Source organism: Homo sapiens, chromosome 11 (assembly GCF_000001405.40).
Source record: "Homo sapiens chromosome 11, GRCh38.p14 Primary Assembly".
In the NCBI taxonomy this organism is placed as follows: domain Eukaryota; kingdom Metazoa; phylum Chordata; class Mammalia; order Primates; family Hominidae; genus Homo; species Homo sapiens.
In genome coordinates, this window is record NC_000011.10 from 47328296 (window position 1) to 47354364 (window position 26069).

Below are 26069 nucleotides of genomic sequence, written 5' to 3' on the forward strand. Positions count from 1 at the left end.
GGAATTCCCCACTGCAGCTCCTCAGGGGCCCTGGACAGTAGCTGTGACCAGGCTGGTGAAAGGCCCGTCCCTCCCATCCAGGGCTTTCAAAGAAGTGGGTAGAATCACGGCCATCAAGTAAACGCCACTGCGGATGACAGAGGCCTAGCTGAGGAGGCTAGGGCCATGTCCTCCCAGCTGGCAGAGTCTGGACAGAGCCTCTGGTGGCCTCTGCCCTGTCATAGCCTAAGCTGCTGCAGCCACTGTGAGAGGCCACAGAGGGGAAGGGGACCCTGACGCCGGGCGCTGCCGCCTGGGGGAGCATGGCACGATTGCTCTTAGTGTTGAACTTTCTGTTTTGTCTCTTGCCCGTCCGGTTTTAGTTCCTGAAATTAAAGAAGTGGTGAGCCACAAGTACAAGACACCAATGGTGAGTGTGCCGCTCAACCCTGATGGGCCACGGTGCGCAGGGCTCCCTGGGGGACCTTCGGACAGGAGGAGGGGAGGGCCCTCTGAGCGCACAGGGGTGAGTGGGGACCTCGTTTTGTTGCCAAAGGTTCAACTCAGGCTGAAACAGGTCTTGAGCCCTGAGAGACAGACACACACACACGGATCCCCTCTCCCATGGGGACAGCTTCCTTGCTTGGAGCTCACGTTTAGCCCAGAGGCCCATGCCCAGTGTTAGGGCAGGAGTTGCCCATTGGCAGATCCTTCACATATGGAGATGGAGGAGTCTCAGTATCGTGATCCGCCTGGTTTTCTCTCCTCTAGGCCCACGAAATCTGCTACTCCGTATTATGTCTCTTCTCGTACGTGGCTGCAGTTCATAGCAGTGAGGAAGATCTCAGAACCCCGCCCCGGCCTGTCTCTAGCTGATGGAGAGGGGCTACGCAGCTGCCCCAGCCCAGGGCACGCCCCTGGCCCCTTGCTGTTCCCAAGTGCACGATGCTGCTGTGACTGAGGAGTGGATGATGCTCGTGTGTCCTCTGCAAGCCCCCTGCTGTGGCTTGGTTGGTTACCGGTTATGTGTCCCTCTGAGTGTGTCTTGAGCGTGTCCACCTTCTCCCTCTCCACTCCCAGAAGACCAAACTGCCTTCCCCTCAGGGCTCAAGAATGTGTACAGTCTGTGGGGCCGGTGTGAACCCACTATTTTGTGTCCTTGAGACATTTGTGTTGTGGTTCCTTGTCCTTGTCCCTGGCGTTATAACTGTCCACTGCAAGAGTCTGGCTCTCCCTTCTCTGTGACCCGGCATGACTGGGCGCCTGGAGCAGTTTCACTCTGTGAGGAGTGAGGGAACCCTGGGGCTCACCCTCTCAGAGGAAGGGCACAGAGAGGAAGGGAAGAATTGGGGGGCAGCCGGAGTGAGTGGCAGCCTCCCTGCTTCCTTCTGCATTCCCAAGCCGGCAGCTACTGCCCAGGGCCCGCAGTGTTGGCTGCTGCCTGCCACAGCCTCTGTGACTGCAGTGGAGCGGCGAATTCCCTGTGGCCTGCCATGCCTTCGGCATCAGAGGATGGAGTGGTCGAGGCTAGTGGAGTCCCAGGGACCGCTGGCTGCTCTGCCTGAGCATCAGGGAGGGGGCAGGAAAGACCAAGCTGGGTTTGCACATCTGTCTGCAGGCTGTCTCTCCAGGCACGGGGTGTCAGGAGGGAGAGACAGCCTGGGTATGGGCAAGAAATGACTGTAAATATTTCAGCCCCACATTATTTATAGAAAATGTACAGTTGTGTGAATGTGAAATAAATGTCCTCAACTCCCTTCAGGCTCCCTGGCTGCCTTGTGTTAAATGACACCTCCTCTTGGCTCAGGCCTGAGGAAAGCTATCCCTGGACTCTAAAAAGTCACCTCAGGCTGGAAGGAAGGAAGGAGATGAGGTCATCCATGTCCAAGCTTTGGCACACGGAGGCCCCAGCTCCCCTGTTCTGGGCTCCTAGAGCAAGGCTGCGGGAGGAGCTTTCCTTCCTGGGCACCTGAGGGCCCTGCAGAGAGCTGGGCTGCCATGAATGAACAGGCTGCTAGAGGGAGCAGCCAGACTGGGCGTCCTCACCTGAACTGAGATTAAGTGAAAGAAAGCCAAGGCCCTGGCCCTCTCCGTTCCCTTACAGGTGGGTATGGTCGAGAGAGGTGTGGTGATTCAGCCAGGGCCTCCCACAGGGCCCCGGACTCCTGGCCAGGAGTGTCTTCCACTGCATAGAACTCCCAGAAGCTCCCCTAGGAGCTGCCTTCATGGAATTCTGTCCTGGAAAAACCTGGCTGCACTCTCAGGGAATTTGAGACCTGCTGGCTTCCCGCGCCCAAAAGGAAACAGATGCTCGGATTTAGGCTCCCCATGGGGGAAGTGAGAGCAGAGTGGGGCCCTGGCCCTGACACCTTTCTGGTGCCCAGCGTCCTGGACTGGATTGGGTTGCTGTCTCCCACCGGGGATATGGGTCTGAACCCGCTGCTGGCTTATTGCTGGCTGGGACTCCAAAGCCACCTAGTGCAGCTCCACCCCAGCACAATCACAACACTGAGATTCTGCCTCACCCCACCTCCAGGCGGTTGTGACCACGGCCCCTGGCACAAGGATCACGCTGAGCACCTGGGACCAGTTAAATGCACTTTCCGCTGTCACAGCTCAGTTTCATCATCTGAAGAGTGAATGCTGTAGGGGAAGACAGGTTCCTTCTAGCGTTAATGTTTTATGAACTCAGAAACCACTCTGGGCCTGGTTTAATCATCGGGAAAACAAAACAAAAAACAGTATCTGCTCTCACTTTGCTGTGAAGATCAATGTCCCTGGGCTTTTTTCTTTTTTTTTTTTTGAGACATGGTCTCACTCCATCACCCAGGCTGAAGTGCAGTGGCATGATCTCGGCCCACCTCAAACTCTACCTCCTGGGTTCAGGTGATTCTCCTGCCTCAGCCTTCCAAATAGCTGGGATTATAGGCGCGCCACCTTGCCCAGCTAATTTTTGTATTTTTAGTAGAGACGGGGTTTCACCATGTTGGCCAGGCTGGTCTTGATCTCCTGACCTCAGGTGATCGGCCCGCCTCCGCCTCCCAAAGTGCTGGGATAACAGGCATGAGCCACCGCACCTGGCCATCCCCTGTGCATTTTTATGAAAACAGGCACACCGAAATTGAGAAGAGTGAGTTCTCTGTGACTGCACTTATCTTTTATTGCCCAATAAACATTGGGAAGACATAGCAGGCCAGAAAGGCCTGTCCCCAGACATTGTTTCTTGAGGCCACCCTCCTTTTACCCCAAAGATCCAGGGGCTTCCTTCAGGAGCCCTGTGGACCAGTCTGTGCAACACCCACTCAGGACTGCCCGACAACTGCCCTGCTGATCCCCCATCGCAGCACAGGAGACACACTTGTCACACATACATCCAACAGTAGGGAGGGGTTTCCCCAACTTCCCTCCAGGCTCCTGGCACGGGGCTGGCATCCGGTTGTACCTGCAACACAGGTTATCTTACGAGTGAATGGAGGGCCCCTACAGCCTCCCATTTACTGATGGCTGCCCCAGGACCAAGGGCCAGGGCTCAGCCACTGACTTGTGCCCTGGGTGTCGGGTGGTACATACCTGGCCATCCCCAGGAGCCAGCCTGGTCACTGAGGCACTGCAGAAGAGGAGGCCATGTCACTGTGTCCTCCCAGCCTTCTGGAAGCTATTGCCCATCTGGGCGTGGCAGGGTCCGTGCCCTTGCAGCCAGGGCAGGTGCTTGGCCGAGGACAACGGAGCAAAGCCCAGGGTCCCCACTGCCGCCCGCTCTTCCCATCTCCCAGGCCCTGGCCCCGAGGGCTCCTCACCTCGCACCTCCAGGCGGCACTCACACCGTGCCTCGCCCTGTAAGTTGGTGGCCCTGCAGACATAGATGCCCCCGTCAAAGGGGCAGGGCTTTCTAATCTCCAGAGTCAACACTCCCTGCTTGCTGAACATGCGGAAGCGGGCGTCTTCTCCCAGGTCCAGGCCATTCTTGAACCAGGAAATCTTGGGCTATAAATAAGGTAAAGAGAGGGAGGGAAGCCATCCAGGCTGAGAGGGGACCTGGCAGGGACCCAGGGAGACACATCTGTGTTTCTACTCGGGGGGTCCCACGAGAGTCCCTGACTATGCCCAAGGCTGGAAACAAACATGGAACCAAGAGTGAGTACCATGGCCCTGCCCAGGGGGAGGAACCCGGTCCATACACCCCAAGGTGGAGAGAAAGCAGGGGAGACAGGCTGGGGAGAGGACTGCTCAACGTCGGGGCCTGTGAGCCCTGCCTCCTGGTCGGCCTGGACCAGCGCCTAAAGTTCCCTACCTTGGGGCTACCCCGGACAGCACAGCAGAGCATAGCAGTGTAGCCCGCGATGACCGAGCGGTTCACCAGGGGCTGGGTGAAGCTTGGGGCCTCGGAGAAGTCCAGGGCCTTATAGTTGGGTGGCTCATAGGTGATGCCTGTTGGTGACAGGACTTGGTACCGAGAGGGCCACACAAAGCTAGGCCCCTCTCCCTGTTCCCACAGCCTCCCTGCCCCAGCCCCTGGTTGGAAGAATGAGGGTACAGCACCTGGTCTGGGGATAAAGACGGGCTCCTTGGTGGTGGCCGCTCTGTCACTAAAGCCAACCATATTCTGGCTGAAGACGCGGAAGTAGTAGCCATTGCCAATGATGAGCTCTGGCACCACGCAGTGGGTGCGGCGGTAATGCTCCAAGACGGTGAACCACTCCTGGGGGCAGGGAGGGAGGGGAGGCATCTCTGGGCCAGGCCCTTCCTGATGCCGAGAGCCTCTCCTGGGTGCCCTTGGCATCTCCACCCCTACTATGGAGGGATTCAGATCAGCAGAGGGAGGGTGAGGGGTCCACGGTGAGGACAGTGAAGGGTAGCTGCGGCCTGGGTCTGCCGGGCCTAGGCAGGGTGCACGTGGGGACCCCAGACCCTGGGCTCACCATGGTCTTCTTGTCGGCTTTCTGCACTGTGTACCCCCAGAGCTCCGTGTTGCCGACATCCTGGGGTGGCTTCCACTCCAGAGCCACATTAAGACCCCAGGCGTCAGTCACCCGGAGATCCTGGGGAGGACTTGGCTTGTCTGCGGGAGACAGACCCAGTTGGGTCACCACGCCTCCTGACAGTGAGCAGGGGGTCACTGGCTCCAGGGACCACCCCACCCCTGCCAACCAGGGCCAGGCCTGCTGGGGCAGTGGACTGGAAAATGTGAGCTGTGGGTTGGGTCCCCTGGCCCCACCCTTGGCCCCAGCAGCCCAGCCCAGGGAAGGGAAACAAGGGGGCTCAAGGAGGCCTTGGCCACGCACCAACAACCTGCAGCACCAGCGTGGCCTTGTCCTCCATGTTCTCAATGCGCACCGTCACCTGGTAAGTGCCTGAATGCACGCGGCGAGCGGCCCGGATGAACAGGATGGTGTCTGTGGGGCTGTTGCGGATGCTCACCTCCTCGCCTGCCAGGGGCTGCCCCTCTTTGGTCCAGGTCACCTGAGGCCGGGGCTTGCCCTGAGGGGAGGAAAAGCTTAACCCTGAACCTGGATCACTCCAAGGGCCGGCCGCCACCCCAGCCTCTGGTACCTCAGATCAGGCCAGCCCTGAGACATCAGTCCACTGGATGGGAACAACACACTATAGCCTCTCTCCCCTGGGGGACAGGGAAGGGGGCCAGTCCCACCTGGAAAGGGATGAGAAGGTTCACAGGCTCCCCGACCTTCTTCTGAATGGTCTGGCGCAGGTGCCTGGGCAGCTGAAGCCGTGGCCGTTCTGTGGGTATAGAGTGGGTAGCTAAGTGAGGGCCCGCCACAGCTCTGAGGGGCTCCACAGCTCCAACCTCCCTTGAGACAAGGCCCAGAGAGCTGCAGCTAAGAAAAAAGCTGCCTGCTGGGCCCTGCGCCTCCTTTAGCTCCTGCTAACACAGCAACTCCAGGCTGCCCAAGCCCAGCTGGCTTCCCCGAGCCTCACCACTTCAAAAGGCAGGGATCAGAGAGGGTAAGCAACTTGACTGAAGTCACACAGCTAGTAAGTCATAGACCAGGGTGTAAGCCTGGGCTTTGACACCCTATGCCCTGTGTTGTTACCACCTGAGTTTGCTGCCTCGTTCCAGCTTTGAGAACCAATCCTTACAAAAGATGGACCCTTTGTTGGGACAAGGAACAAAGGAATGGGAAGTGGATCCCAGAGGGACCAATCTGACTACATAGACAATATTTACCTGTTGGAGCTGAGACACTCCTGGAAGAGAGCTTGGGTACTGTGGCTTTTACTTTCCCTGTTCCAGAACTAAGGGACTGACATACACCAAGAGAGCCCTTTCTGCACTTTTTTTTTTTTTGAGACGTTGTCTCACTCTGTCACCCAGACTGGAGTGCAATAGTGTGATCTCAGCTCATTGCAACTGCCACCTCCCGGGTCCAAGCGATTCTTCTGCCTCAGCCTCCCAAGTAGTTGAGGGACTACAGGCACGCGCCACCACACCTGGCTAGTTTTTGTATTTTTAGTAGAGACAGGGTTTCACTATGTTGGCCAGGCTGGTCTCAAACTCCTGACCTCAAGTGATCTGCCTGCCTTGGCCTCCTAAAGTGCTGGGATTACAGGCTTGAGCCACTGTGCCTGGCCACCCTCTCTGCACTTTTTCCCTAGGCCTAGCGCATGGACGATGGCTCCAACCCCTCCTGTCTCTGCCCAGCGTTCTGGGCAGAGCATTCTGGGCCTCCCCAACTGTCCCCACCTCCACTGGACACCAAGGGCCTGGGGTGTCAATGGCGGGTCTTGTGACTGCACAAAGGGGCACTCACGCAGGATCTCCTGCACTGTCACCGGCTCCGTGGTGGTAACAGGGGCTCCAGGCCCTGCCATATTGTGTGCCCGCACTCGGAAAAGCAGCCGGGCCCCCGTGGGCAGGTCCTTCACCAGTATCGATGTGTGCTCTGTCAGCCCCTGCAGGGCAGCCACCCACTCTGAGCCTGGGGGTGGGGAGGGGGAGGCAAGGCCACAGGCTGTGTCACCACTGACACCCCACTCCCACTGCCCACTCCTCTGATAGGAATCTCCAGGATTTAAATATGTTTTTTTAAATTTTTATTTGTTTATTTATTTTTGAGATGGAGTTTCGCTCTTGTCTCCCAGGCTGGAGTGCAATGGCATGATCTTGGCTCACCGCAACTTCTGCCTCCCGAGTTCAAGTGATTCTCCTGCCTCAGCCTCCCGCGTAGCTGGGATCACAGGTGCCCACCACCACACCCGGCTAATTTTGTATTTTTAGTAGAGACGGGGTTTCTCCACGTTGGTCAGACTGGTCTCGAACTCCCGACCTCAGGTGATCCGCCCACCTTGGCCTCCCAAAGTGCTGGGATTACAGGCGTAAGCCATCGCGCCTGGCCTTAAATATGTTTTTAAAATGTAGTTGCTGATTTCGCACTGCTCAAAGAAGTGTTACAGTCAGCTTTACTCTGCATTTGTTTTTCACTAGGCAAGCTTTTTTACTTCTGAAAACAGGACAGATATTTCTCTGGGTGTCCTCAACTTTCGGCAAAAGTGGGCCTAAAAAACTTGACTACAGGTGAATCTGCTCAATGGCAAGGTGAGCATGTTCTTCCTTTGGGGAGGGGGGTTGGGGGCGGGGACACTCACAGCCCTCTGGGCAGTACTCCACGCTGTAGCCATCCAGGCCTCCTGCTCCCACGCGCTCTGGGGGCCGCCACTTGAGGGAGACCGTGGTGTCAGAGACGTCCTCTACTGCCAGGTGGGTGGGTTCGCTGGGGGGACCTGGGCAGAGGAGAGGTCAGAGAGGGGTCTGAGCAAGCCTGGGGAAGCTGGAGATCCATGCCCTAGACTCTGAACTGCCCACTGGTCACATAGGGGGCACTTCCTGTTCAGCTGGCTTTTGGCCACTTTAAGGAATATTTTGTCCCTGTTACAAGACATGTCTGTAGATTGGCTTAAAAACAAACAGCAACAGCAGCCAGGCACGGTGGCTCACGCCTGTAATCCCAGCACTTTGGGAGGCCGAGGTGGGAGGATCACCTGAGGTCAGGAGTTCAAGACCAGCCTGGCCAACATGGTGAAACTCCGTCTCTACAAAAATACAAAAATTAGCTGGGCATGGTGGTGGATGCCTGTAATCCCAGCTACTCAGAAGGCTGAGGTGGGAGAATTGCTTGAACCTGGGAGGTGAAGGTTACAGTGACCCCAGATCGCGCCAGGACTGCACTCCAGTCTGGGTGACAGAGCGAGACTCCATCTCAAAAAAAAAAAAAAAAAAAAAAAACTAAAACTAAAACTACAGAAAACATGGGAATTTCCTGGCACGTATGATTAGGTGAGTTGACTAAGAACTGAACAAACCAGGAATCAGTCCCTAAAACGAGAGGCCTGGACCCTTCTCCCCACAGGCCCCGATTCCTGCCATCTTCCCAAGCTGTGCCCCATCCCTGGGCCCAGGGGTCCTTGGCCTGCCCTTGCCACAGGCAGCTGCCCCCGGACTCACCCACCCTAGTGGGAACAGGTGTCCTCCTGAGCCCTGCCACAGTCTCAACACCTGTTCTGCCCACTCAGACCCCATTATACAGATGAGGAAGCTGAGGCTTCAGGGAGGGATGACTCCAGTTGGCCCCCCGGGGACCATGGAGCTGCCTCTGCCATCTCTGAGTCTTGGTCCAGGACTCTTTCCACAGACAGATGCCCCTGAGACCCCTCCACTAACTACAGCCCTTGCCCCATCCCATAGGTGAAAACCCTGGGTTGAAGGGTGTGGAGAACAGGGGACAATGAACATTTATTGAGCACCTGTTAGATGCCAGATGGCCTGCCTGGTCATCCCATATCATCCTAACAGCTCTCTGAGATAGGCAGTGTCATTATTCCCATTTTGTAGACATGGAAAGAGAGGCTTGAAACGTGAACTAGGGGTCGGCGTAGTGTGAGAGTCAGCTCCACCCCAACCAGCTGGGAGATCTCAAGCAGGTCATTTAACTGCTTGGAGCCTGTTTCCTCATCTGTAAAATGCGGCTGAGTATCCCCAGTCGAGGATGAAAGGAGACTGTGGATGTGAGTGTCTAGCATGGCTGCCTGCAGAGCACCTGCTATTATTGGAGGTTTTTAACTGGGGAGGGGGCGGGGGGCAGGACCAGGCCAGGCAGGCTCACCGATAGGCATGAAGGGCTGGGAGGCAGGGCTGGGCCTGGACATGCCGATGGCGTTGACCGCGTAGACGCGCATCTCGTACACCACGCCCTCGATCATGCGCCGCGCTTCATGACTCAGCTCCTGAATCAGGTCGAAGTTCAGCCGCATCCACCGGTAGCTCTTCTTCTTCTTGCGCTCCAGGATGTAGCCTGGCTCAGGGGAGGTGGCAGCTCTGGTCTGGAACCCAGGCATCCCCACACCACCTTCCCTCGGATCTGTTTGGCGCCCTCACACCTCCATCCGGTGCCCTTGCACTCACCCAGGATGGGCTGCCCGCCATCGTAGGCAGGCGGCTCCCACTGTACTGTGCAGGAGTCCTCTCCCACGTTGCTGATCTTGGGGGCCGCAGGTGCGTCTGGCACGTCTGGATGGGGTGGGATGGACCCACATCAGCCCTGCCCCGCTCAGGGCCTTGAGTAACGTTGCTCGTCCCCTTCCCACTCCAACTAACCGCCACAGGCTGCCCCCACCACCCCCAGATCCAAAGAGATCTTTCTAGAATGCATTTCTTTCTTCTTTTCCTTTTTTTTTTTTTTTTTTTAGTGATATGGAGTCTCACTGTGTTGTCCAGGCTGGGTCTCAACAGGATGCATTTCTGATCATGTCGCCAGCCCTCCGTCAACCCTTTAAGGCTTCTCACTGCCCATATTCACCCCTGTCCTGGCTCTGATCCTCCCAACCCCACCCAGTCCTCTCCTGACATGTTTCATTCATTCTCCACACCCAAAAGGCCCTTTCCCTCCTCCACCCCTTTGTACACAGTTTCCTCTGCCTGGGATGCCTTTCCTCACCATCTTCTCAGCCTCCTAAAGGCATCACCCCCAGGCACAGGGATGGCTCTCTGCTCAGTGCTCCCACGGCACTCTGGACATGGCTCATGTACAGCAGTGTCGCAGGAAATCTGCTGGATGCATCTGCCTCCATCTCCCCCAGAGCGGGGCTCCTTTTGGGCAGAAAAACCTGTCCTGTTGCCGCTCGGCTCAGGGAGCATGCCCGTGATGTTTGTCGAGTGGCTGAATGAGCGAACGGATGGGCCCTCCTTGGGGCTGCCCCTCTGTGTTCTCCAGCTTGGACCCCGGCCGGCCTCACCGATGACCTTGACTGTGAGGTTGACCTGGTCCTCGCCCACAGGGTTCTTCACTGTGACCGTGTAGACGCCCTCATCTTCCTTCTCTGCCCCCTCGACCGTGAAGATGCTGCGGTCCTTGGTGGTCTCCACGCGGACCCGGCCCTCGGTCTCACACAGCAGCTGGGGGGGTGCAGAGTTGGGGTGAGATCCAAGTCAGACCCCAGAGGCCCTTGCAGCCTCCGCCAACAGCCAGATGTCCCGGGGGTCCATGGGGGGAACACAGCCTGTGGGAAGACTGCATCCACGTCAGCATCTAGTTCAAAATCATCTCTGTGGCACCGACTGAGGGCAGGGGCTCGGGTTCTAGCTTTGTCACGGGACCTGGGGCAACCACCTGTCCTCTCAGATGAGCTATCATGAGGACCCCTCAAGACCCCAGCCTTCAGAAGAACCAACAGTGCCAGGCAGGAGCAAGACCCCGGCAGCTACACTGGCAGAAAAGTGTCTCAGAAACTACTCCTGAGTTGAGAGGGAGCACAAGGTCAAGGTCAAGGTCAGCTTAGGATGAAGGGAGCCAGGGAGCAGCCCAGTCATGAGGGCTTCCTGGCAATGAGAGGGTGTCCACATCCTTGTGATGGCCATCAGCACACTTCACAGAGACCCTCTGCCTGAGGTGTGAGGGCCCCACAGGGACCCTGCTGGGGGCAGCAACACACCCGGCCAAGTGTGGCACCTCCATGGAGACCTCGCCAAGGGCTCGGCACCACGTAGGTAGAAAGTGATGAAAGACAAACGAGCCTCCTCCTGACCTCAGTCTCACTCACCTTCTTGTCAAACACCCACTCATCGCTGTCACCTGTGTCCTCTGGGGCATCTGGGGCTGGCCTGGCTGGGGCCTTATTCCCCTGGGAACAGGGCAGGAGGGAAGTAGGGAGCAGAGGAGCTGACTCAGCCTGGAAGCGCCCCTCTGCTGCTTCTTCCACCCCCTGACCCACACTGCCCACCTTGCCTGCCCCCTGACCAGTCTCTCCCATGGGGTAGCCAACAGCAGGGCGTGCACATGTGGGTGGGGTGTGCAGCAGGTCCTAGCACTTGGCTGGTTCCACACACCCATCTTATAGATGGGGAGACTGAGGAGGGACCCACAGTACCTGCGTGATAGCCTTCTGCCAGATCACAGTGGGAGCAGGGTCCCCAGAGATAGGGACGTCCAGACGTAGCTTATTTCCAGCTACAACCACAATGGTGTCTGGTATGCGGCCTGGGCAGTCCAGGTGGATCTTGGGAGGTTCTGCAGAAGACACAATGTAGTTCAGAGAAACGGGAGAGCCAGGAGGAGCACAGGTCACTGGGGCGGGGCTGCTCAAGAGCCTGGGCCCCTGGTTATTGGTTTTTTAGATTTGTATTGAGGTATAGTTTATGCTCAGATCTGACAGTAGGCTGAGTTCTGACAGATGAATACACCCATGCAATTATTAATCCAACCAAGATCTGGAACATTCCCATCACCCCAGGACGTTGGCTGGGAGGCTTGTAATATTCAGGTCAGGTCACCTAGCATAGCATTTTGAAAACTGGGGGAACATCAGTGTCTTGCCACACACATACACACACACACAATACACACACACACACGCATATACACATACACACAGACACACATACACATACACACATGCACACACAGACACACACATGCACACAGACACAAATACACATACATACACGCACACACACAGACACAGACACACATATATACATACACACACAGACACATGCACACACACACACGCGCGCACACATGCACGCACACATGCACACATTAAAAAGGTTCCCTGGCCAAATAAATCAGGAATCTGCCCTCAGTTAAACAAAGCAAAGCAGTCTGGACGCAGTGGCTCACGCCTGTAATCCCAGCACTTTGGGAGGCCGAGGCAGGCAGATCATGAGATCAGGAGATCGAAACCATCCTGGCTAACATGGTGAAACCCCGTCTCTACTAAAAATACAAAAAATAATTAGCTGGGCATGGTGGCGGGCGCCTGTAGTCCCAGCTACTCAGGAGGCTGAGGCAGGAGAGTGGTGTGAACCTGGGAGGCGGAGCTTGCAGTGAGCCGAGATCGCGCCACTTCTCTCCAGCGTGGGCGACAGAGGGAGACTCCGTCTCAAAAAAAATAAAAATAAAAAAAAAGGAAGAAGAAGAAAAGATGTAATAATAACAGTCACACATGTGACAGCACTTGACAGGTCTGATACATCATGTCACCTCATCTTTATAACTATCCTATGAGGTGGCACTATCAGGGTTCCCATTTTAGAGAAGAGGAAACTGAGGCTCACAGAGATTATAATTGACCCATGGTCATGAGTGGCAAAGCTGAAGCTGGGCCCCAGGACCCCCACTTTTGATCCTTGCTCTTCCCTCTGTGAGTGGAGGGGAGGCCTGCGTGGGTGGGTTGCGGGAAAGTGAGCAGAACCAAGACTCAGGGGCCCCAAGACTTACCCTGCCTGGGTACGAAGTCAATCTTGACCTCTGCAAGAGAAGGAAGAGCAAGTAGCACGGGGGCAAAGGCAGGGCCCAGTGACAGGGGCTCCTGGCCCCACTGCCCCGACCCACCCTACCCTGGAGCAGGCTCACCCATGAAGTGGAGCTTGGCTGACAGGTTGCAGGCGAAGCCCTCGGGCACAAAGCTGTAGTCAGCCTCGTCGGCAGGTGTGACGTCGTCAATGGTCAGTTTGTGGACCCTGCAGGGGAGCAGTGGCTCAGGGGACCCCACTGGGCCACACACCCCTGGCCTTGCCAGATACCCCAGCCAGGGTCCCAGGAGGCCCTCACCTTGTCCTGGCTTGTTGGTATTCTGATTTTTAAAAATGCCTTTTTTTTTCTATATTATCTAATTTTCCAGCTTTTTAATGTGCCTTCAGAGGTAGGCAGCGTAAAAGTGATTTCTACATCAAAGCATCTCCTTGGCTGGGCCCTTGGAGACTGGGCAGGGGCTGGGTCTCATTAATCTCTGTGAACTTGGGCCCAGCACGGCCAGCCCAGTTGCTCCAGGGATGAGCAAGAGGGCGGGAGAGGCAGTGAGGGCCTCTGGCCAGAGCCGGCCTCCTTGGTGGCCTCCTGCCCTGCCCTGGTCACAAGCTGGGGGAGGGTGCTGGGGAGCGCTCGACCCCGTCCGTGTCTCTCCCTGCTGCCTCTTTGTCTCTGTCCCTCTGTTCTTCTCTGTCTCTGACGAACTCTCCTATGTGTGTGCCTCCCTGTGCATATCTTTCTGTCTCTATAGAACTATTTCTGTCTTTCTGTCTCTTTGTCTTTTTGGGTCTGTCTGTTTCTCCCTCTCTGTGGGTCTCTGTCTCAGTCTCTGTCCTGTCTCTGTGCATCTGCCTCTCTGTCCACCTGTCTTTATCTCTCTCTCTCTGTTTCTCCCTGTGTCTCTCTCTGTCTCCATCTCAGTCTCCACCTGTCCCATCCACCTGCCCTGCACACTCACCGCCCGATGTGGGACACCTTTATGCGGCTGTCGGGCACCAGCTCCTTCCCATTCTTCAGCCACACACCCCGAACATTCTCATCTGAGACCTCACATTTGAACACCGCCTGGTCCTTTGCGCCCACCATCAGGTCTGCGATGCTCTGGTACACCTCCAGCTTCTTTTCTGCAGGGCAGGGCAGAGCCATTGAGCTCGGGAGGGTGTGTGGGTGTGGCGTGAATCCCTGTGGAGGGCGTGTGGGCCCATGGGCGCTGGTGCGCACGTGTCTGGGTGCATGTGGGCATGTGAAAACACGTGTGCCTGTGTGTGCCATGTTTGCCTGTGATGGTGCAGTGCACATAAGGAACCTCAAGTGTCTGAGGGGTGGTGATGCTCACCAGGCCCGTATGACCCTCTCAGTACCCTCTGGAGCGGTCACCTCAGCATCGTCATTTTAGAGATGAGAAGGATGAGGTTTAGGCTGTCAAAGGCCCAAGGTCACAGAGGCCTTGAGCCCAGGTTTGCCTGCTCCCCTACAGGGCTAGGTGGGGTGGGGGCTGAGGGGTCCAAGCCCTAAAGCCTCATGTGCCCCCCCAGCCAGGCTCACCCTGCACAATGAGCTCAGCCAGCGCCTGGCCCCCGCTAGTGCACAGTGCATAGTGCCCCGCGTCCTCCAGCATGGCCTCGTTGATGATCAGGTGGTGTCTCTGCCCGTCCTTCTTGAACCGGTATTTGAAGGTCTCCTCCCGGGTCAGCTCCACCCCGTCCTTCAGCCTAGCCGGGTGGGTGGGTGGCAAGTGCTGTGGCCTCTTCTGGGCAGATGCCCCCAACACCCATGCCCCGTGCTTCTGGAACTCACCATTTGACTTGCGCCCCCTCCTCCGATACTTCACACTCAAACTCCACCCGCTGCCCCACCATCACCAGCTGGTCCTCCAAGGGGCGCGTGATGAGCACAGGGGGCTCTGTCCAGGCAGGGTGAGCATGAGGGTTGGCTCCCCTGAGGCCATCTCCTCCCCAGGTTCCCACATCCTCAGGTCCCAGGCCCACCTTTCACAAAGAGCTCCGTGCTACACTTCTCGCCACCCACCACGCACTGGTAGGCTGCGTCGTCCGCCAATGAGCACTGGCTGATGGTCAGGGTACGCTTGGCACCGATGGACTCAAAGATGTACCTGGGTGGGGGCCGCAGGGAAGTGGCAGGAAAGCTGCGGACACCCCTCCGGGCCCAGTGCGCCCCATGATAATCCCTGTGCCCCCCACCCCAAGCCATCCAGAGGGGAACTTACTTGCTGTAGAACAGAAGGGGCCGTTGAAGTGTTCCCGACGGGAGGAAGTGAGCCCGAGACAAAAGGAGAGAGAGAGAGGGACCGGCAGGAGCAAAAGGATGGGAAATTAGGCCCAGAGAGATGGGGCTGAGAGCCACACCGAGTCAGAGATACGCATGTGGAGAGGGGCAGGAGGCAAGGCTATGGGGGTCCCCACCTCCACCCGAGCCCCCCTCCCCACCCCAGGCTGCACCTGCCGCTCATCTGGATCTCCTGGCCATTCTTGAGCCATTTGACCTCAGCGTCATGGTCAGCCAGTTCCACGGTCAGCCGGATCTTGTGGCCTTTGCTCACCTGGTAGGCCGGCTCCAGCTTCTTCTGAAAGGCTGAGCACCACCCCTCAGCCCCGGCCACCCCACCGCCCGCACCCTGCTCCCCCAGGCCAAGCTACTGTGGCTGTGGCTGGGGCCCAGGTCCCCCCCTCCAATCCCCTCTGTGCCGCCCCGCTTCCACTTCTCTGTGTCTCTATTTCTTTTTGTTTTGTTTGTTTGTCTGTTTGTTTGTTTTTTGGACAGAGTCTTGCTCTGTTGGCCAGGCTGGAGTGCAATGGCGCCATCTTGGCTCACTGCAACCTCTGCCTCCCAGGTTCAAGTGATTCTCCTGCCTCGGCCTCCCGAGTAGCTGGGATTACAGGCATGTGCCACCACGCCCAGCTAATTTTTGTATTTTTAGTAGAGACGGGGTTTTACCATGTTGGCCGGGCTGGTCTTGAAATCCTGACCTCAGGTGATGCGCCCGCCTCAGCCTCCCAAAGTGCTGGGATTACAGGCATGGTGTCTTCATTTCTTTATCTGTGTCTATGTGTCAACCCACCTCCTTGTCTCTGTCTGTCTGACCTTGTCCTTCTGTCTTCCTTGGGGTCCTCTCCACCTGCTCAGCTCAGGGATTGGGTTAGGGGCTTCCAGAAAGACAGAAGCTTGTCAGGAGAACTGGGGCTGGGACAGCTGTGCCTTCTCTTCTCTCAGCAACCCCTGAGTTGTGTACTCTTCCCAGGCGCTCCCACCTAGCAGCCCTCTGTGCCCAGCACTCTCACTCCCATCTCAGCCCCCAGGGCCAGTGCGGTGGTCCCCATGCTGCTGCAGTGGGGGAAATAGGGCTCAGAGAGGCGACTGGCCCAATGCCACCAGCCCAGCAGGTGTGTGGCAGAGCTGGGTCTTGAGCCCAGCCCTGCTCCACAACAATGCCTCCTCTTGCGGCCGTGTTTGTAAAAGCCCATGTTGCTGCTGCTGAGCCCAGGGAGGAAGTGGGGGCTCCATCCACCGAGCAGAGAAGGACCCCTGAGTCCTCAAATACTCTGGCTGGGCCTGGAGTCAGCTGCGGAGGGGCAGAGATCTACTGCTGGGTGCTCTGTGACCTTGCGCTAGTTCCTTAAACCCTCTGTGCCTCGGTTTCCTCAGTAACATGGAAATGGTAATAGTCCTTCCATCATAGTGTTGTTTCGAGAATTAAATGAGATAATTACATAAAGCACCTAGTGGCTGGCTTAGGAAGGAACTCACTCACTTTTTTTGAGATGGAGTCTCATTCTGTCACCCAGGTTGGAGTGCAATGGCACAATCCTGACTCACTGCAACCTCTGCCTCCCGGGTTCAAGTGATTCTCCTGCCTCAGCCTCCGGAGTAGCTGGGATTACAGGCGCCTGCCACCATGCCCAGGTAATTTTGTATTTTTAGTAGAGACGGGGTTTCACCATGTTGGTCAGGCTGGTCTTGAACGCCTAACCTCAGGTGATCCACCTGCCTCGGCCTCCCAAAGTGCTGGGATTACAGGCGTGAGCCACTGCACCTGGCCAGCAATTTGCTCTTTTTACTGTTGTTGCTATTCCTGGAAGACACCCCTACCCTCGGAGGTCCCCATCTGCCTTGCCAGCCTCCATCTTTTCCTCCTTGGGCACCTACAGTCCTTTGCTTGGTGCCCTCTGGGCTCAGCAGTTCAGGAGTTAACCCAGAGGAACATTGGTGGCATTCAGGGGATCCCTGGCTTAAATGGGGCCACGGTGCCGGTAAGGGCCAGGCCACCTAGCGATGGGGTGATGGGAAACCCAGTGAGGCTGAGACAACAGGGAGGCAGGGCAGAGGGATAAGGGGCCTGGGGGAGGTCAGCAGGGAGGGACTAACCAGCTCCTCTCCCCGTCCCCATGATCGTGTGTGTTTTGTGTGTGTGCTTTGGGAGGGGCTTGTCTCCCATATCCTGCATGGAAGCTGACCCCTCCATTCAGTCGGTGTTTATAGAGCGCTCGAGGTGTGTGCCAGGCCCTGTGCTAGACCCAGACATGGTGGGGAGAAGGCATGTGAGACCCCTGCTTTCCCGGCTCACACCCGCCCTTGTCAACCCCTCAGTGGAGAAGGGCTATTCCTGGGCTCTCCTCTTTCCATCTGCCTGGGGGTGAGGGTAGTTAACCCAAGCCCTCCTGCTTTGTTTGCCTGAGAGAAAGATTAGCCAGGCTCTTTTCTTTGCCTGTGTGTGGCTCTCCAGGCTTAGCGGGCCTCTTCCCTTTTCTTTTGGGTGTGGAGAGGGTTAACCGGGCTTCATTTCTTTTCAGAAGAGGGTAGAGAAAGAAAGTGTAGCCTGATTTTTCCTTGGTGAGGAGGGTTAACCTGAGCTCTGTCCTTTTCCTTGTGGCTGTCCTGGCCTAACTTTTGCTCTTCTCTTCTATCTCTGTGGTAAGGGGCTAACCTGGGCATTCTTGGCTTTTTCTACACAAGGAGGGGTTAACCTGGGCTCTTCTTTCCTGTGAGTCTCTGTGCTAAGCCGGACTCCGCTCTTTCCATGTATGTGGACGAGGTGGGGGGCTAACCTGTGCCCTCTCCTCTCCCCTGTGGGGAAGGGCTAACCTATGCCCTCTCCTCTCCTGTGTAGGGAAGGGCTAGCCTGTGCCCTCTCCTCTCCCCTCTGAGGAAGGGCTAACCTGTGCTCTTCTTCTCATCGCGCCTCATGCCCTTGAGCCTCTTTAGCATGCCGCGCAGGTCAGTGACGCCGTACTGGAAGGCGATGCGCTCGTACTCAGATGGGGGTGCCTGCCGTAGGATCTCCCACACGTCCTCCTCTGCTGGTGCCTCCAGCTTCGAGTCCCTGTGTCCCGCAGTCTAGGCTGTGGCCGGGGGCAAGACTGCAGCCCCCTGGGCGGGGCTTCCTGGGCCCAGGACCAAGGAGCTGTAGCCACCCCTGTCCCTCTGCCCCTTCCCTTCTGGTGGGGCAGCTGGAGCTGCTCTGGGTCCCAGGCCAGGCAGGACTGGGGGCCAAGGGAGCTGAAGAGGGGCTGGGGATCTGGAGGGGCTCCTGGCAGAATTAGGGGTGATGAGGGTGCTGTGCTATGTTGGGCACTCACCTCGGGGTCCGGAAACTGCTGCTCCAGGGGTGGGGGTGGGAGAAAGGGTAGGTGGCACATGAGAGGTATGGCCACCTTCCCTCAAAGACCTGGACCCCACCCATGGGCCTTTACTTCCTCCCTATTTTCCGCACTTGCACTCCCTGTGTTGTGGGGCACCCATGCTGCTCCGGAGGCTCTGGCAGGACCTCCTGTGTGCATTACTTTTTCTTATCCCTCCTAAGCTCTGACAGATAGGTGGGTGGCAGGAGAAGCCCAAGGCACAGAGACTCACCCCTGTCCGTGGGGAGCCGCACCCTGCTCTGAGTCTCTCACCACAGCCTCTCAGAGAGGGGACGGGAATCCCCTCTGCACCCACCAGCGCCCTGCCGCCCCCAAACACCCAGACCCCGATTCTTACTCTCTGGGCCACAGCAGCAGCAGCCATAATGGAGGGGCCGGGGGAGAGGGAGAGAGAGGGCAGAGAGAACATAAGTCAGTTGGGCCGACCTGGTAGACCCTGCAGCTCTGGGGACCCTCTCTCTGTTCCTTCTGGGTCCCCGGAGTTTACGGAGGGAGCTTTTGCAGCCTCAAGTGTGGAGTGGCCGTGGGGGACACTGTGAGGATGACTGTTGACGGGACATAATGTCTGCAGAGCCCTTTAACTCCTTCCACACTGGGATCATCCCCTCGACAGACAAGGAAACCAACTCAGAGAGGTGCAGTGTTGTGCTCAGGGTCACACAGCTGGCAAACCACAGTGCTGGGATTTGGAGCCAGGCCTCACCAGCTGCCCCAGGAACTGCCACCCAGGACTCACCTCTTTTTCAGCAGTGAGCTGAAGTCCAGAATCCCAGTGTCCTCATGGCTATCACTATGGAGAGGGACCCCCAGTGAGGCTGCAGTGAGGGACTGGAAAGGGATTAGGAGCAGGATGGGAGTGGAGTGGGGAGGGAGAAAGGGACACTAGCCAGATTGGGCTCCCACCCGTCTCAGACCCCTGGGGGTCTGCGGATGGTGCAGGTAGGGCCTGGGGCAGGGGTACCTGATCCGCCGACCACCTCCAGCCAGGCTCCTGTGGGGGTTAGACTCAGTATCCTCACCTGCCTGGGAAGCTTGCTCTCCCCTGCAGCCCCCACTGACTTCAGCTCCGCCCCGCAAATCATCCCCAGCCCTGACCCCCAGTCGAGACCCTGAAGGGCCTCAGACTCCAGCACTGGCCTCCCCCAGGCCCTGAGGATGGCCACTCACGTGCGGCGGAAGGCTGATAGGAGGTCCAGGTCTCCGGTGCCCATGGCCTCTGGGTTCAAAGGGTGGAGAGATGGGGGAAGGGGCTTCAGAGGGGGCCGTTTGAGAAGCCCTGCCCTGGGGGCGGCCTCTGAGTATTCACAGACTTGCCCATTCATGACCCCATGAGGCTGGGCATCTGCCCCAGGATCTCACCTTCCCAGCCTTTCCCAGGGTCAAGGTACCAGGCAGGTGGGACGGTTTATTGTCCCCAATTCCCACCCATCTCTCAACTCACCTTCACCCATCGCCCAAACATTCAGACAGTGCCAGGCCATGGGCCAGGAGCCGTGACACCAAGATGATAAAACAGAGTCCCACCCAGATGAGACCCGGACTCAGCCCTAAGCCCCCACGCCTACCCTGCAAGCCTTGGGGTTTCTCTCACACCCTGTGTGTGCAGCACTGGGCACGTGGCCAGCACTCATGTCTGGATGGGACGAGGCATCCTCCTTAGTGTTGGGAAAAGGAGGTAGGAGACCAGGACCCATGGGGAGCCCGAGCCCAGGACAGACACCAGGGCCCCCTCACCGTGGACAGTGAGATTGAAGTTGGAGCAGTCAAATTTGTCCTTGGTGGACACCTCACAGCGGTAGCTGCCAGTGAAGGCAGGCTGGGCATCGGTGATGTGCAGCTCGAACAGATAGACCTGTGTGCATGGAGGGACGGGGCGTCAGGGGACACCAGGGGCCGGGAGACAAGGCTCCGCACCCTTAAAGGAGACTGGGAGTGGCCGGGCGCGGTGGCTCAGGCCTGTAATCCCCACTTTGGGAGGCTGAGGCGGGCGGATCACATAAGACCAGGAGCTCCAGACCAGCCTGGCCAACGTGGTGAAATTCCGTCTCTACTAAAAATAACGAAAATTAGCCAAGTATGGTGGTGCACACCTCTAGTTTCAGCTACTCGGGAGGCTGAGGTGGGAGAATCGCTTGAACCCAGGAGGTGGAGGTTGCAGTGAGCCGAGATTGAGCCACTGCACTCCAGCCTGAGCGACAGAGCGAGACCCTGTCTCAAATTATATATATATATATATATTTAAAGGAGGCTGGGAGTGACAAATGCTCATCGATCTTCGCACCCTCAGGCTTTAGTTAACCCATACAGAGTTTTTGTACAGAGAAAGGGGACTATCTCGAAACCCATGATTGCCATCTGCTGGCACATGGTTGTGGTGAAATACAGGCTTTTGTGCAATGCACAGCCCCGCACAGCAGAACATGTTGGCCTCTCTTGCTAGAGGCCCCCTTGCCTAGCCCAGGACTGGGGAAGGTTGGGAAAAGCAGAGGCTTGGAGTGAACAAACAAGGGGACTTAAGCCTTAAGGTTCTGGTGGGCAGGGCGGAAAAAAACAAAACACAAAAAACGAAGGCTTAAGGTTCTAGGCCTATGTCTAAGTGACCTTGGAGCAGCCACTTAACCTCTCAAGCTTTGGTTTCCGTGTCTGTATAATGAGGAATTGTTCTGGTTAATCCCTGAGAGTCCCTTGAGCCCTTAGCCCTGATACTCACCCATCCAGGGGCTTTACAACCCCACTAGCTGGTGCCCCCATGCTTCACAGTGTCCTCCAGGCTTCCTGACCACCCTGGGCGACCCCCCACCCCCGGCCAAACCTTATTAGGTGCCCCCTTGAGGTGATCATGTCCACCAAGTCTCCCAGGTCCCCGACAGTGCTCCCATGAGCCTCATCGCACTCCCTGGCCCCCAGGCCTCCGGGATCTCCCTGTGGGCCCCTGGCCCCTCCACCTGCCTCCCAGATTCCCCACACCCCTTGCTTGCAGCTCGTGTGTGCCTCTGGGTCTCATGGTGCCCTCTGTGTGCCTTGTGCCTTCTAGGGCTCTCCATGTCCCCTCTCTCCGTGTCTCCACGACCCCGGTGGACCCACCTTGCTGGCGCGGTCGTAGCTGTCGTGCAGCTGCAGGTGCTGGCCCACCTTGCTGCTCAGGTCCACCCATTTGCCCTTGAACCACTTGACCACAGGCGGCTTCAGGAGGCTGGCGCCGGCCACGCGGGCTGAGAAGGTGATGCTGCCACCTGCAAAGGCAGGGGCGACAGGCCCGGCTTGGGGAGTGTCCTGCTGCCCCCCCTTCCCACCCCAATGCTGGGCACAGCAGCTCACACTCACCCACGGTCACCTCGCCATCCTGTGGCCGCATCACGAAGAGGCCAATGGGGTCATCGGGGGCTCCAGGGGTAGGACCATTGAGAGCTGCTGAGCTTGACCCTGTGAGCAAAGGCTTTTTCTGTTTGTTTGAGATGGAGTCTTGCTCTGTCACCCAGGCTGGAGTGCAGAGGCACAATCTCGGCTCACTGCAAGCTCCGCCTCCCAGGTTCACACCATTCTCCTGCCTCAGCCTCCCAAGTTAGCTGGGACCGCAGGTGCCCGCCACCACGCCCGGCTAATTTTTTTGTATTTTTAGTAGAGATGGGGTTTCATCATGTTAGCCAGGATGGTCTCAATCTCCTGACCTCATGATCCGCCCACCTCGGCCTCCCAAAGTACTGGGGATTATAGGCCTGAGCCACCGCACCTGGCCCAGCAAAGGCTTTTGAGACCTGCCCTGGACACGCCCTACCCACGGATCCTGCCCCTCCCTGCCCAGCCCCTCTCACCTTTGGGACTTGGGGCACTTTCTCCCAGCTCAGCGGCTGGGGCCGGGGCTTCTCCAGGGGCTCCAGTGGCCTCAGCAGGGGCAGGGGCAGGGGCCAGCATGGGCTCTGCCTTCTCTGGAGGGGATCAGATGGGAGTCGTGGTGCAGCCACTAACCAGAGACCCCTCCACCCTCTCTCTCCTGAGCATTGGACCCATGAGCCCGCTGTGGATGAGGAAAGTCTGCCATGGCTGTCCTCCCGCTGCCTGGGCCCCTCAGAGGCAGCTCATGCTGAGCTGGAGAGCCAGCCTGCCTCTCACATTCTCCTCCCCGTCCCAGGCCATCAGTTCCCATGTCCTCTGCATCTGCCCTGAACAGCTCCAGGTCCATCCCTGCTCTGCCCCAGCCTTAGAGCAGCCCCTCAGACTGGGCTGCACTCCCCTCATCCACAGCTCCTGGGGCTTCCCGGCCGTCTGTGCAGGGTCATCTCCCCAGGGAGGTCTGCAGGGGGAGAGTGGGGTTGTGTCTTGTTCATCTCTCCCACCTACCCCATGGCTGGAACAAGCCAGGATGGCACATGGGGGTACTCAGAGAGGTCATGTGCAGAAAAGGGGGAAAGGGCGTTCCTGGCGGGGGGCACAGCCACAGCAAAGGCAAGAAAGTGTGAAAGCACCTCCTGTTCCCTGGATGGATGGAGAGTCGCTGGGCTGCCCCTCCCCCAGCAGCCCAAACCTCAGGGAAGGCTGATCAGGATCTTACCTGCCTCTATGACCTTGAGGTCGAACTTGACCTTGGAGGAGCCAGCAATGACTGCGTAAGATCCCTGGTCGGCAGGGCCCACTTCCCGCACTGTCAGCGTATGCCGTGTGCCCTCTGTGGCCAGGCCGTACTTGTTGCTGGCGCTGATGTCACTGCCTCCGCGCTGCCAGCGCACCTTCACTCCTGCCCGCTCTGTCTCGGCCTCGAACACGGCAGGGCTGCCTGCGGCCACTTCCACTGACCGTGGCTTCTTGCTAAAAGCTGAGACTGAAGGGCCAGGTGGAGGCTACAGCGGCCCCTGGTTGGAGCGTGCACCCCGCCCCTGCAGCCCCTCTCAGTAAATACTGTGCTAGCACTTTCTATGCATCCCCTCACGTAATACTCTACCAGTTCTCTGAGGTAGTTGCAGTTATTCTGTTCATTTCTCAGAGGAGGACACTGAGGCTCAGAGAAGCTAAGCGGCTCCTCCAAGATCACACAGCTAGCAGTCGGGAGAGCCAGGGCTGTGGTCCTGACCTCCCAACAAGACTTTTTCTGCATGTGTCCACTTTCCCTGCTTGGAGACACCCGTGATGAACCCAGCTCCCTTTCCCCCAACCATTTCGGGCCCTTGGCAGGGGGCGGGGAAGTCTGCCTACTTGGAATGTGGCCAAATTTGTCCTCCAAGGACCTCAGGCTGGGTATCAGCAACTGAGATAAAGCTGGCCTGGGAGGGCGCTGGGGGATGGGGACCTGGATCTCTGCCCTGGACAACCTTCATAAGGGCACAGCCCAGGCCCAGGTCCCTGGGCTGTGATTTTCCCTGCCCTTGGCCTGGGTTCAGGGGCTCCTGACTGTCCTCTCTCAGAGAAGAGGGGCTGTGTCACCCTCAACATGGGGGCCACACCGTACAGGCTCATGAAGCAGATAATGTCACAGCCAGGAGGAACCAACCCAATGCCACCACCACCCCCGGCACCCCAGGTTGGGAGACTGAGACCCATAGTGGGTAGAGACTGGTCTGAAGGCATGCCGTGAGCCTGGCTCAGCTCCATACTAAACGTGGGCTCTGTCCGCGGGGAACCTTGCTGTGGAAGGTGAAGGCAATGGGACAGGGAAGGGGTCCCTTTGCATTCTCAGAATGGGTTGACCCCGGGTGCTTCCTGTCTTGGCTGTGTCCCCTCTCTGCGTCCCTGACCTTGGGTTTACCTTCACCTCTCATCAGAGGGATGGGAAAAAGAAACCGAGAATCAAAAAAGGACCCTGGAGGACTGGCTGCCCCTGTCCTGGGGCTCAGAGGCCACGTCCTCGTCAACCCCCTCAAGAACTCCCTCCTAGCCCTGCTCCCCAATTGTAGACACCCCCCTGCTCCCACACTTAGACCCAACCCCAGTCCTAAAGCTACCTGGCTTCTTCCCCGGCTCAGGCATCCTGAGAGACGTCACACCAGGCACGAAGCAGGCACAGGTCACCCAAAGAGGGACTGAGTGGGGTCCTGTCCTTCCCACTATATATGGGGACCTCCCCCCTCCCCAGGCTCTGCTTATCTGCCTCCTGTCCAGCCACCTGCTAAATATAGATGAATTCCAGAGAGCTGAGGTCTCTCCAGGGAGAAGGTAGGGCCACATTGTCCCTGGCTGGCTCCTGTCCCTTCCCCCCTCACCCCCCGCAGCACAATTCTGCCTCCCCAACCTTTGGCAAGCCTCAGGGGTACTCCAAGCCCCGTGTGTGTCCCTCTTACAGCAAATTGTACGGTGGGAGCATGCTGGGCCCATAACCCTAAGGCTAACGGGTCAGGAGCATCCTCGCAGGCAGTTCAGGCAGTGGTCATGTCCACAGACCCTGGGGCCAGGGTGTCTCTGAGTCCTAGCACTGCCATCTCTTTAATCTCAAAGCACCTGGTTTCCTCATCTGTAAAGCGGGGTGGGTGAAAGCAGCACCCACTGCACAGGATTGTCACACGTATGAAGTGGGTTTATAATTTTAAAAATGTTAGGCCGGGTGTGGTGGCTCATCTGTAATCCCAGCACTTTGGGAGGCCGAGGCAGGCAGATTATTTGAGGCCAGGAGTTTGAGACCAGCCTGGGCAACATGGCAAAACCCCATCTCTACTAAAAAAATAAAAAATAAAATAAATACACACACACACACAAATTAGCCAGGTGTGGTGGTGTGGACCTGTAGTATCAGCTACCCAGGAGGCTGAGGTGGGAGGATCGCTTGAGTCCAAGGAGTTCCGGGCTGCAGTGAGCCAAAATCGCACCACTGCACTGCAGCCTGGGTGACAGAGTGATAATAATAATAAAAATATTATTTATTATTATTTTTTATTATTAATATCTCAAAGAATAATAATAAAAAAATAAAAATGGGCTGGGCGAAGTGGCTCACACCTGTAATCCCAGCACTTTGGGAGGCTGAGGCGGGCAGATCACTTGAGCTCAGGAGTTCGAGACCAGCCTGGGCAACATGATGAAACCCCATCTGTACAAAAAATACAAAAATCAGTCAGGCATGTGACGCACACCTGTAGTCCCAGATGCTCGGGAGGCTGAGGCAGGAGAATCACTTGAGCCCGGGGGGTCAGGGCTGCAGTGAGCCATGTTCGTGCCACTGCACTCCAGCCTGGGCAACAAAGTAAGACCCTGTCTCAAAAAAAAAAAAATAAAAATAGAAGAATGAAGACACAACACCATTTTGCCTTCTCTTGTGGCCCTGCAGTAGGACTAGGGAGCTGCAGGGTTGGGCTGCAGTGAGCCCTCTGGGGTTGAGGAGGTGTGGGGCGGGTATTTGTCCCTACGATAATGGCCCCAGAATCTGGGTTCCCTAAGGTCTTTGACAGCGTTGGGAAGTCCCTCACTCCCAGGCTGTCTACTGCCACTACTTGCTACCGTCTGGAGGAAAACACAGGACTTACAGGCTTCTCCGCTCAGCTTGGTCTGTTTCTCCCCTGCTGTGGCTAGGAGCTAGAAAGCAAATAGAACCTGGGGGTCCCACCAGGGATTCACTTGGGTCTAAAGTCCTGCTGGGCGTGCAGCTCGTGAGAACCCTTTGCGGCCCACAGGAGCTTTGGGGCTTAATTCCTGTCCTCGGAATGCTGAAGAGTATCCTCTTCCAGATAAGCAAGGCCTCCCACTCCATGTTGAC

The 26069-nt window shown here is 57.4% G+C and overlaps 2 protein-coding genes across 106 annotated transcripts in view, besides 2 other annotated features; one reads left to right on the plus strand and one right to left on the minus strand.

Moving 5' to 3' along the window:
• MADD (MAP kinase activating death domain) overlaps window positions 1–1736 on the plus strand; it is a 60844-nt gene extending 59108 nt beyond the window's left edge. For 104 of the 105 annotated variants that reach the window (NR_164835.1, NR_164840.1, NR_164841.1 and 101 more), the window contains 2 exons: window positions 363–409; window positions 751–1736. Coding sequence is in view for 97 of the 105 variants with exons in the window: in NM_130470.3 (NP_569826.2) it covers window positions 363–409; window positions 751–855 (152 nt within the window). In the remaining 8 variants the exon portion in view is untranslated. The remainder of the gene's footprint in view (window positions 1–362; window positions 410–750) is intronic. The other variant, NM_001376617.1, reaches the window with a different exon arrangement.
• MYBPC3 (myosin binding protein C3) lies at window positions 3111–24407 on the minus strand. The gene is made up of 35 exons (NM_000256.3): window positions 24328–24407; window positions 22944–23210; window positions 22207–22320; window positions 21719–21817; window positions 21479–21627; window positions 20129–20246; window positions 19562–19610; window positions 19356–19385; window positions 19131–19184; window positions 18732–18734; window positions 18332–18349; window positions 17912–18075; window positions 15197–15329; window positions 14965–14967; window positions 14726–14850; window positions 14535–14640; window positions 14283–14449; window positions 13696–13861; window positions 12843–12949; window positions 12708–12737; window positions 11356–11495; window positions 11029–11109; window positions 10225–10384; window positions 9395–9499; window positions 9096–9284; window positions 7582–7716; window positions 6747–6914; window positions 5627–5715; window positions 5262–5457; window positions 4899–5038; window positions 4519–4678; window positions 4271–4407; window positions 3777–3963; window positions 3550–3586; window positions 3111–3421 (listed from the first exon to the last, which is right to left on the minus strand). Exons 1-34 carry the CDS (start codon window positions 24350–24352, stop codon window positions 3576–3578), a joined length of 3825 nt encoding a protein of 1274 aa, NP_000247.2. The 5' UTR covers window positions 24353–24407; the 3' UTR covers window positions 3111–3421; window positions 3550–3575.
• Window positions 22069–23050: an enhancer, noted in NCBI's record as "H3K4me1 hESC enhancer chr11:47371915-47372896 (GRCh37/hg19 assembly coordinates)". NCBI's record gives its function as "activates a minimal SCP1, AML or CMV promoter by ChIP-STARR-seq in naive H9 embryonic stem cells {active_cell/tissue: H9 hESC(naive)}" and the evidence as "EXISTENCE:reporter gene assay evidence [ECO:0000049][PMID:30033119]".
• Window positions 23051–24031: an enhancer, noted in NCBI's record as "H3K4me1 hESC enhancer chr11:47372897-47373877 (GRCh37/hg19 assembly coordinates)". NCBI's record gives its function as "activates a minimal SCP1, AML or CMV promoter by ChIP-STARR-seq in naive H9 embryonic stem cells {active_cell/tissue: H9 hESC(naive)}" and the evidence as "EXISTENCE:reporter gene assay evidence [ECO:0000049][PMID:30033119]".

Coding starts and splice junctions, on each gene's coding strand:
- MYBPC3 (NM_000256.3), bottom strand. CDS start 24,352: ATGCCTGAGCCGGGGAAGAAGCCAG. Junction 9,500..10,224: donor CCTCACAGTCAAGGTCATCG/GTGAGGCCGGCC, acceptor CACCCCATCCAG/ACGTGCCAGACGCACCTGCG. Junction 4,408..4,518: donor CGTCTTTATCCCCAGACCAG/GTGCTGTACCCT, acceptor TGTCACCAACAG/GCATCACCTATGAGCCACCC.